This window comes from Homo sapiens, chromosome 3 (genome assembly GCF_000001405.40).
Source record: "Homo sapiens chromosome 3, GRCh38.p14 Primary Assembly".
Classification (NCBI taxonomy): domain Eukaryota; kingdom Metazoa; phylum Chordata; class Mammalia; order Primates; family Hominidae; genus Homo; species Homo sapiens.
In genome coordinates, this window is record NC_000003.12 from 86008088 (window position 1) to 86020403 (window position 12316).

General features: G+C 34.4%; 1 protein-coding gene and 1 pseudogene across 16 annotated transcripts in view; both read left to right on the forward strand.

Moving 5' to 3' along the window:
• CADM2 (cell adhesion molecule 2) overlaps nucleotides 1–12316 on the forward strand; it is a 1115441-nt gene that overhangs the window by 1049099 nt on the left and 54026 nt on the right. The gene's annotated exons all lie outside the window — the stretch shown is intronic.
• Nucleotides 4330–7432, forward strand: THAP12P2 (THAP domain containing 12 pseudogene 2; annotated as a pseudogene).

The window sequence follows — 12316 nt, forward strand, 5'->3', positions numbered from 1 at the left end:
AATATCAAGTGTAAGCTAATTTGACATGTGAAAATCAATTTTTTTTTCCAAAGTTGAGGGTTATTCTAAAGGATAGTATTGCAAAATGTAAAACTGAATATCTTTTCTAGTCAAGGAAAATCTTACTTTGTAGACTGGGAATGAAAGACACGTGCAGCCTGTTTATTCCTTCATACCTGTAGCATAAAATACACTGGCTGCTGTCTTTAGCAGTTACATAACCAAACAAAAGAAAAATAGGACACCAAATCTTTAGGTCATCTATATAGCACATTGACTATTATAACCATCTGATTGAAAAGTGTGAAAAAATATAAGTCAGTTTAGAATCATTCTAAATTATGTAATTTGAAAAAATGAAATTTGAACTCTTATCAAAACATTTTATGTGCATTTTATTTTGTTTATTTGCATAAATAAAAACACCAAAAATTTTTGATGCGTAATTCAATGCTGAGATGATGTAGAGGAAGGCAATACGTAATCTATGCAAACTGAAATGACAATTTCAAAGGATAGCAGAAAATCCAGTCACCAAAGAGGATTTAGAGGGCTAAATTTTAATTTGGAATCTTGACCTGTGCTAATTAAAAGGCAAAATGAACTATTGAATGCTTTTTTCTAGTTCAAAAACTATTTGGTTATGTATTTGACACAGATGAATTTTTTATAATTTCATTAATAAGGTTATCTTCTCTCAAATTATTGAGAAATATGCTTTTAAAATGCTATTAATTTTGACGATTTTTTCCAGTTTTCAATTATATGGATTATCATCTATAAAAGTTAAATTAACAAGTATCTTCTCAATGCATTTGATGTAAAATGTTCTTTCTTTTCCCCAAATGTTCTCTTTTTCTATGAGAAAATAAAATTATTATAACGATGCAGGGTATTTGGCAGTGTAGCTCTCGCTGAAAATAAACACTAAATAGTATTGACTGCATACTGAAGGCTGAAGAGATTGAAACTTACAAGTTTAATAAATCCAGACTTGGTGTTATAGTGTGTGTGTGTGTGTATAAATATATATATATGTGTATATAGATATATATATAGATATATATATATAGGTATATATATAGGTATATATATGAATATATGTATGAATATATATGTGTATGTGTGTGTATATATATATATACATATATATATTCTTTCCAGTATTTAAACAATCAAAAGCAAAATGGTATATACGTACCTACAATGATGACATTACCTATTTGCATGAATTGTAAAAAATATTTGTTTCTCTGGAACCTGATCCTCAATTATTTCAGAAATTTAAGGGAGGAAAATCTGTTTGGAAGGCTTTGGAAAATTTATTTCATTGTTTTTTACTATTATTTTAGGAAGAAGATCACTTATTTTTGGAGTGCCAGCACCCTCTACTTCAGATAGGATACTTTTAAATGAAGCGATGAAATCGTATTTTGTTAAAACTTGAAACAATAGTTATATAACATATTTTGTAGGTTTTACTATGCTTTGCCATTTTTATCTTATGAACTAGTTGACAATGTAACTATCTAATGACATAAACTGATACTTCTTTCTCAAAACATAAAAGCTTCTTTCTCCCCCATGGGCTGTTAAAAATTATTATTTTTTTATGGTCACATTAGGATTGTGTAACTAGTTTCTAATGGGATTTCATGTGTATATTCTTGAACTTTTAAAAATTATTTTTTAATTGACAAATAATATATATTTTAATTTATTTAAAAATTGTGTATATACAACATGATGTTTTGAAGTATATATACATTGAGAAATGGCTATATCTATCTAATAACAAATGCATTATGTCATATGATTATTTTGGGGGTAACACAACACAATTTTCGATATGTTGTGTTTAGGTAGTACCCTAAATGACGCCTTTTTTACTTGTTGATTGTCTTGGTGAAATTTGCTGTTCCTTCTAGGCCTACCTGGAAAGTCCGACATTAACTCTGCTCTATTTAATCTTCTAATCATTTAATTTAAAGTAAATAGCAATGACGAAATAATATTTCATATTGATGACAGTATGAATTACAAAGATAGTTATTTGAAACCACATATGTAATATTACATATTGGAAAAACATATAGGGAATTACAATCCTGGACAGGTCAAATAATATTCATCTGAGTAAACTGAAGAATAACAAAAATAAAGTAGATCTGATAGATGTACATACAATTCTGCTCTTCAAATAAAAAATATAACTGTTTTTTCCCATGTAGGAGTAAACTTGTTTGTTTGTTTTTAAATCAATATTCTGTTGAGTAGTAAAGAAATAACAATCAGTAAAAGAAAATGTAAAAGAGTTATGCACACTATTTTGTCTGGCACTAATTTAATAATCCTATAATGATAATAGAAGAAAAAATTTTAATGGCAATATAATGAATATTTAGGAATAACCTCTTGAGACAAATATACAAAATCTTCAATTAAAAAATACCTAGAAATAACAGCTAACCTAACAAATATATAAGCTCTGTTTAAAACCTTATTTAAAAGAAAATTTATGTGTCAAACATTTTCACTGGTGCAAATAAATATTGAAAGAAAGAAACAAATATTAAGAAAAAATAATGAAAAATTTAAAAATAAATAGAACATAATAAAGATAAAATTAGAAATCAAATTGTAAAGCAGACTTTAGAATTTATAAAGTCAGTAAAATAATCAATAGCTCTAGAATCACTAGTTAATCCAACTAAGAAAAGAAAAATAAATTATTAATATGCACAAATAATCAAGAAATTAATTGCCAATAAGGATGAAATTAAAAGAATAGAAAGAAAATGCATTTTATAACTCTAGGCATAGATATCTGAAAATCTATATGAAATAAATACACTTCTCTAAAAATATAAGTTATAAAAAGTATTTATTAGAAAACAGAAAAATTACAGATAATGTGGAAAATATACCTTTTATCGTATATCTACTAGTTGTATCAAAATGTAAAGAAACTGATCCATTTTAAAACTGATTCCAGGCATGGAGAAGAAGCAAAGCTTCCCATTAGTTTGTATAATGTCGCCACATCAGTAGCAAAGTCTTATAAAGACAGCACAGAGAAAGAAAATTGCAGATCAATTTTACTGAAATATTAATCAATTTTACTGCAATATTAATGCAAAAATCCTAAATGAAATACTAGCAAATAATATACAATCATATACTAAAAGAATCACTAATCTTTAAAAAGTAAGTTCATTCACACTAATTCAAATTTGTTTAATATTAAGAAATCCATCTATATAACTAACCATTTTAATCAGTTCATTGACTTGTAATTATGTTCATCTTAATAGATATTAAGTAGATATTTGAAAATTGGAAAACTCCATTCAAGAAACAAAACAAAACCTGTATAAGAATATGTATACCAAAGGCCGTTGCCACAATTAGTGGCAATACCCTTGCAATCTACCTATTAAAATTGGTGGAATTGGGGCGATAAGAAAAAGGAGAAGTAGGAAAAGAGAGATGGAGAAGAAGAGAAGGAAGAGTCAGAAAAAGGAAGAGCAATAGTAACAGGGTCCTAAATTTTAGAAGTCCTTGCACAATTGGGACAGCCAATGCCAATTGTATTTTACAAGAGGTGAATCTGTCATTCTTTCTTGTTGGTATAATTGAAAATGAGACTGTCCAAGAGAAATATGTAAAAAAAGAAAAATGCTAGAAATAGGTAGAGATTCAGTAAGGTGGAAACGTACGAACATAAATTTAAAATGTAATAGCTTAGAAACCATAATGGGAATATAAGTGATTTAATTGTAAGAAAAAATATATAAAAAACCTTAGAGAGAAATAATAATGTTGTATAAACTTTAGAGGAATTCAAGTATACAATTAAGTAATTAATTAAGAAGATACATTTTAGTATTGGATACTATTAAGAAGATTCATTCTAGTGTTTAATATTTTATGTGTTATAAAATATTATCTTATATAAATATACTCATATGGAAATATTTATTATCCTTAGTTTGTGACTCCGTAAGGGACATAGCAACCAGCATTCTGTTAAATACATATGCTTTCCACATAACTATAACTCATATTAAAATAATATATACAGCTGCCAAAATATTTTCTATTTTAAAGTAATTGGTGTATCTCAATATGAAACATCTTCTCTTTTAAGCATTTATGTATGTATAGTTATTTTAGTAAATCAGTACAATGCATATTATAATAGAATAACATATATGAAAAGATCCTGGTGTCATCTTGTCAATATGCTTTGTTTCAATTCTAATTCATGCTCTTGTTGCTTTATTGTCTTGTTGTCATGGTCACACACAATAAATTACAATAAAGTTGGGCTTCTCGCCCGCCCGCCCCTCGCCCGCGCGCCGGCCCTGCAGAGCCGGCCGACCTGGCTCTCCTCCGTGACCCGGACCAGCGGGCGGACTGCCCTGAGGAGGCCGGGAGCGGAGGGCTGGGCCAGCCAGCGGGCGGGCGAAGATGCCGAACTTCTGCGCTGCCCCCAACTGCACGCGAAGCGCACGCAGTCCGACCTGGCCTTCTTCAGGTTCCCGCGGGACCCGGCCAGATGCCAGGAGTGGGTGGAGAATTGTAGGAGAGCTGACTTAGAAGATAAAACACCTGATCGGCTGGGCGCGTTGACTCACGCCTGTAATCCCAGCACTTTGGGAGGCCGAGGAGGTCAGCAGATCGAGACCATCCTGGCTAACACGGTGAAACCCCGTCTCTACTAAAAATACAAAAATTAGCCGGGAGCGGTGGCGGGCGCCTGTAGTCCCAGCTACTCGGGAGGCTGAGGCAGGAGAATGGCGTGAACCCGGGAGGCGGAGCTTGCAGTGAGCCGAGATCGCGCCACTGCACTCCAGCCTGGGCGACAGCGAGACTCCATCTCAAAAACAAAAACAAAAACCTGATCAGCTAAATAAACATTATCGATTATGTGCCAAACATGAGACCTCTATGATCTGTAGAACTAGTCCTTATAGGACAGTTCTTCGAGATAATGCAATACCAACAATATTTGATCTTACAGTCATTTGAACAAACCACGTAAGTAGACACAGAAAACGAATAAAAGAACTGAGTGAAGACGAAATCAGGACTGAAACAGAAAAACATTGATGAAACTTCTGAGCAGGAACAAAAACATAAACCAACAATAGCAATGCTCAGAACCCCAGTGAAGAAGAGGGTGAAGGGCAAGATGAGGACATTTTACCTCTATCCCTTGAAGAGAAGGAAAACAAAGAATACCTAAAATCTCTATTTGAATTATTGATTCTGATGGGAAAGCAAAATATACCTCTGGATGGACAGGAGGCCGAAGAAATCCCAGAAGGTCTCTTTACCCTAGATAACTTTCAAGCACTGCTGGAGTGCCAGATAAATTCTGGTGAAGAGGTTCTGAGAAAGCGCTTTGAGACAACAGCAGTTAACACGTTGTTTTCTTCAAAAACACAGCAGAGGCAGATGGTAGAGATCTGTGAGAGCTGTATTCGAGAAGAAACTCTCAGGGAAGAGAGAGAATCACACTTCTTTTCCATTATCACTGACGATGTAGTGGACATAGCAGGGGAAGAGCACCTAACTGTGTTGGTGGGGTTTGTTGATGAATCTCATAGCCTAAGAGAGGAATTTATAGGTTTTCTGCCTTATGAAGCTGATGCAGAAATTTTGGCTGTGAAATTTCACACTATGATAACTGAGAAGTGGGGATTAAATATGAAGCATTGTCGTGGTCAGGCTTACATTGTGTCTAGTGGATTTTCTTCCAAAATGAAAGTTGTTGCTTCTAGACTTTTAGAAAAATATCCCCAAGCTATCTACACACTCTGAACTTCCTGTGCCTTAAATATGTGGTTGGCAAAATCAGTACCTGTTATGGGAGTATCTGTTGCATTAGGAACAATTGAAGAAGTTTGTTCTTTTTTCCCTTGATCACAACTGCTTTTAGAACTTGACGATGTAATTTCTGTTCTTTTTCACAACGGTTAAGAAAGGGGTAAAGAACTGAAGGAAATCTGCCATTTTCAGTGGACACGCAGGCATGATGCTTTTGAAATTTTGGTGGAACTCCTGCAAGCACTTGTTTTAGGTTCAGATGGTATAAATAGTGACACAAATATTAGATGGAGTAACTGTGTAGCTGGCAGAGCATTTATACTCTGCAGTGCAGTAACAGATTTTGATTTCATTGTTACTATTGTTGTTCTTAAAAATGTCCTATCTTTTACAAGAGCCTTTGGGGAAAATCTCCAGGGGCAAACCTCTGATGTCTTATTTGCAGCTGGTAGCTTGACTGTAGTACTGCATTTACTCAACGAAGTGATGGAAAATATTGAAGTTTATCATGAATTTTGGTTTGAGGAAGCCACAAATTTGGTAACCAAACTTGATATTCAAATGAAACTCCCTGGAAAATACCACAGTGTTCACCAAGGTAACTTGGAATCTCAGCTAGCCTCTGAGAGTTACTATAAAGAAACACTAAGTGTCCCAACAGTGGAGCACATTATTCAGGAACTTAAAGATATATTCTTAGAACAGCACCTCAAAGCTCTTAAATGCTTATCTCTGGTACCCTCAGTCATGGGACAACTCAAATTCAATACACCGGAGGAACACCATGCTGACATGTGTAGAAGTGACTTACCCAATACTGACACGCTCTCAGCCAAGCTTCACTGTTGGAGAATCAAATAGAAACACAGGAGGAAAGATATAGAGCTTCCATCCACCATCTATGAAGCCCTCCACCTGCCTGACATCAAGTTTTTTCCTAATGTGTATGCATTGATGAAGGTCCTGTGTATTCTTCCTGTGATGACGGTTGAGAATGAGTGGTATGAAAATGGACGAAAGCGTCTTAAAGCATATTTAAGGAACACTTTGACAGACCAAAGTTCGAGTAACTTGGCTTTGCTTAACATAAATTGTGACATAAAACACAACCTGGATTTAATGGCGGACACACACGTTAAACCCTATACAAGTAAGTCAGAGCTTCCCACAGATAATTCCAAAACCATCGAAAATACCTAGGAGAGTTTTAAAAATAGGCCTTCTTATATTTGATATTTTAAAGAAAAGCCATATGGTGTATGTAAACCTCTTAATCACTAAATGTCTTTGCCTATAGAACTCCATTGAATACATTAGCCATTGATAATGTACCTGTTTAAATGGCCCCTGTTTGAACTCTCAGGCTTTGAAAACCTACCTGTTCTTCCAGAAGAGAACATTGAAAGTGCCATGTTTCCTTCTGCGTGTACTCTGCTGATGGCACTCTGGAATTGTTTTAGTTAGGTCATTTTAGACATAGCATTTATTATCACTGTGGATCTCTACTTGTTGGGTGTTACAAATTCTTTGAAGAAGTATGTTTTGAAGAGGTGCGGGAGGAAGGAATACATTTTATAAAATGTTATAGTGACACCCACAGTTGACCTTTGACTAATAGGAGTTTTAAGTATGTTAAAAATCTCTCCTGGACAGTTACAAGAAATTACCGGAGAAAAGCTTGTGAGCTCGCCAAACAAGGATTTCAGTGCAGATTTTGTCTTTCTCTAACTTAAAGGAGCAAATGACAGTTAAAATTTGAATGGAAGAGCCTGGCGTTGTTCTACATCTCATTGTTGCTGTTTACATTCCTTTGTGGAGCCTACATCTTCCTAAGCTTTTTAGCCGGTATATGTTGAACACTTCTGTTTCATGGTTAAGACGGAATCAGAGGCCATGGGTACTGACAACTGACTTGTCTGTTTTCTTTCTGTCTTTTTCCATGACTCTTACCTACTGCCTCATCTTGATTTATAAGCAAAACCTGGAAAACCTACAAAAATAAGGATTGTGGTTTATCTAGAAAACTATGGAAAACATTGCTGTTATTTTTGATGAAGAAAATCCATTTTGTATAGTTTATTTCAATCAAAACAAAATGTGAATTTTGTTTAAAAATGGAAAAAAGAAACTTAATCATTTTATTCACTAAAGGAAAATAATTTACGAGCTTCTAGAAATTTTACTATCATGTAATTAACTCATGTCAGTCTTTTGATACACTATTTTTTTAGTACATTCTAATACTATAGTGGTAAAGTACATAAATGGAAATTTATGTATATTAGGGTGAAACAAGTAAACAGAGGGAAATAATATATAAAACATGTTATATAGCTACTACTTGGGAATGTATGCAAACATCTACCTATATCTTTTTATATTTAATTACTAATAAGCATCTTGCATATGATAAACTGTTAGAATTATTTCTTGTACCAATCTATCTCTTAAAAGTTTTCTAGATAAGAGAATAAGAGAAAATTGTGCAACATATTTTCTAACTTTGCTGAAATTATTTTGAGTTAAAGGTTAATGACATGTAAGGAAAAAATTATGATGAAATAAGAGGAAAATATAATTAAATGATAGTAATGTGCTACCAGTTGTTTAACTTCCACCTCTTTTTTCCTTTAGGAAAAAGCTAGCACAAATTTTGTTAATCACAGGCCAACACATTATCCTTCTCTGCGGAAGTTTCAAAGGTGCGGGGAGGTGGAAAACTTAAGTTGACCCTTTCATTGCCTCTGAAAGTAATTTCTATAATCTTAACCTCCTGAATTCAGTCTCTGGCATTTTATGATAATGTTAACACTTAGGGAAATCATGTTTTATTCATATTTAATGATGATTAATATGTCGCTGCTATATAATCAAGATAAAATAGACTAGTTTCCAAAAGTGTTCTTTTTTATAACAAAGAAAACAGAAATTACTAAGGATTCAATGAGGGGTTTAAAACAACTTTAAATTCAACAAAAGAATTATTTTAAAACTTTCACTGATTTTTTTAAAAATCTGAACTTTGAGAATACTTAGAAAAACAAAATTTCATTTGTTTCAAAAGAAGAAAATCAATCCAATAGAAAAATACAATAATCATTTTCTAACCACTGTATATCAAACAGTTGTGCTTATTGCTTTAAGCTTTTACAGACCCATTTCTGTGCCATCAAGCTAATATGGGTTCATACTACTCTGGACAAGCTGGAAAAAAAATGTGTGTATATATATGTGTGTGTGTGTGTGTATATATATATATATATATATATATAATTTACACTATATAGATATGAGGCAATATGTTACAATAACATAAGTATGGGACAATCTGGAAAATATATCCCTTTGAGTCCTCAAGAGTTCTATGATTTGGTCAAATAGATGTTATTCCTAAGCTCCTAGACATGTTTTACTAATTATTTACACAAGAGCTCAAAATTATTTGATTTCTGAAGAAAAATTATAAAATATTTTTACTTGATCATAAAATAATTTAGCAAGTACTGTTAGGAAGAAAAGTATTTTTTGGCTGGTCATGGTGGCACATGCCTGTAATCCAGCATTTTGGGAGGCCAAGACCCGCAGATCGCTTGAGCCAGGAGTTGGAGAGCAGACTGGGAAACTTGAGGAATCCCGCCTCTACAAAAACTGCAAAAATTAGCCGGGCACAGTAGCATACACGTGTAGTCTCAGCTCTTCAGGAAGCTGAGGTAGGAAAGTCACTTAAACCCAGAAGCAGAGGCTGCAGTAAGCCGAGACTGTGCCACTGCACTCCAGCTTGGGCGACACCAGGAGACCCTGTCTCCAAAAAAAAAAAAAGAAAGAAAAAGAAGAAGAAAGGGATTTCTTTTGTGTGCTAAATTGCAATTGGCTTAGGAAAAATTATGTTATGTGTACCCTTAAAAACTTTTTTCTTTTTTTTTTATAAAGTCTTTTATTTATTTTATTTTATTTTTATTATTTTTTTATTATACTTTAAGTTTTAGGGTACATGTGCACATTGTGCAGGTTAGTTACATATGTATACATGTGCCATGCTGGTGCGCTGCACCCACTAACTCGTCATCTAGCATTAGGTATATCTCCCAATGCTATCCCTCCCCCCTCCCCCCACCCCACAACAGTCCCCAGAGTGTGATATTCCCCTTCCTGTGTCCATGTGATCTCATTGTTCAATTCCCACCTATGAGTGAGAATATGCGGTGTTTGGTTTTTTGTTCTTGCAATAGTTTACTGAGAATGATGATTTCCAATTTCATCCATGTCCCTACAAAGGACATGAACTCATCATTTTTTATGGCTGCATAGTATTCCATGGTGTATATGTGCCACATTTTCTTAATCCAGTCTATCATTGTTGGACATTTGGGTTGGTTCCAAGTCTTTGCTATTGTGAATAATGCCGCAATAAACATACGTGTGCATGTGTCTTTATAGCAGCATGATTTATAATCCTTTGGGTATATACCCAGTAATGGGATGGCTGGGTCAAATGGTATTTCCAGTTCTAGATCCCTGAGGAATCGCCACACTGACTTCCACAATGGTTTAACTAGTTTACAGTCCCACCAACAGTGTAAAAGTGTTCATATTTCTCCACATCCTCTCTAGCACCTGTTGTTTCCTGACTTTTTAATGATTGCCATTCTAACTGGTGTGAGATGGCATTGCATTGCGGTTTTGATTTGCATTTCTTGATGGCCAGTGATGGTGAGCATTTTTTCATGTGTTTTTTGGCTGCATAAATGTCTTCTTTTGAGAAGTGTCTGTTCATGTCCTTCGCCCACTTTTTGATGGGGTTGTTTGGTTTATTCTTGTAAATTTGTTTGAGTTCATTGTAGATTCTGGATATTAGCCCTTTGTCAGATGAGTAGGTTGTGAAAATTTTCTCCCATTTTGTAGGTTGCCTGTTCACTCTGATGGTAGTTTCTTTTGCTGTGCAGAAGCTCTTTAGTTTAATTAGATCACATTTGTCAATTTTGTCTTTTGTTGCCATTGCTTTTGGTGTTTTAGACATGAAGTCCTTGCCCATGCCTATGTCCTGAATGGTAATGCCTAGGTTTTCTTCTAGGGTTTTTATGGTTTTAGGTCTAACGTTTAAGTCTTTAATCCATCTTGAATTGATTTTTGTATAAGGTGTAAGGAAGGGATCCAGTTTCAGCTTTCTACATATGGCTAGCCAGTTTTCCCAGCACCATTTATTAAATAGGGAATCCTTTCCCCATTGCTTGTTTTTCTCAGGTTTGTCAAAGATCAGATAGTTGTAGATATGAGGCGTTATTTCTGAGGGCTCTGTTCTGTTCCATTGATCTATATCTCTGTTTTGGTACCAGTACCATGCTGTTTTGGTTACTGTAGCCTTGTAGTATAGTTTGAAGTCAGGTAGCGTGATGCCTCCAGCTTTGTTCTTTTGGCTTAGGATTGACTTGGTGATGCGGGCTCTTTTTTGGTTCCATATGAACTTTAAAGTAGTTTTTTCCAATTCTGTGAAGAAAGGCATTGGTAGCTTGATGGGGATGGCATTGAATCTGTAAATTATCTTGGGCAGTATGGCCATTTTCACGATATTGATTCTTCCTACCCATGAGCATGGAATGTTCTTCCATTTGTTTGTATCCTCTTTTATTTCCTTGAGCAGTGGTTTGTAGTTCTCCTTGAAGAGGTCCTTCACATCCCTTGTAAGTTGGATTCCTAGGTATTTTATTCTCTTTGAAGCAATTGTGAATGGGAGTTTACTCATGATTTGGCTCTCTGTTTGTCTGTTGTTGGTGTATAAGAAAGCTTGTGATTTTTGTACATTGATTTTGTATCCTGAGATTTTGCTGAAGTTGCTTATCAGCTTAAGGAGATTTTGGGCTGAGACAATGGGGTTTTCTAGATATACAATCATGTCGTCTGCAAACAGGGACAATTTGACTTCCTCTTCTCCTAATTGAATACCCTTTATTTCCTTCTCCTGCCTAATTGCCCTGGCCAAAATTGACACCCTAACATCACAATTAAAAGAACTAGAAAAGCAAGAGCAAACACATTCAAAAGCTAGCAGAAGGCAAGAAATAACTAAAATCAGAACAGAACTGAAGGAAATAGAGACACAAAAAACCCTTCAAAAAATTAATCCAGGAGCTGGTTTTTTGAAAGGATCAACAAAATTGATGGACCGCTAGCAAGACTAATAAAGAAAAAAAGAGAGAAGAATCAAATAGATGCAATAAAAAATGATAAAGGGGATGTCACCACCGATCCCACAGAAATACAAACTACCATCAGAGAATACTACAAACACCTCTAGGCAAATAAACTAGAAAATCTAGAAGAAATGGATAAATTCCTCGACACATACACTCTCCCAAGACTAAACCAGGAAGAAGTTGAATCTCTGAATAGACCAATAACAGGAGCTGAAATTGTGGCAATAATCAATAGCTTACCAACCAAAAAGAGTCCAGGACCAGAAGGATTCACAGCCGAATTCTACCAG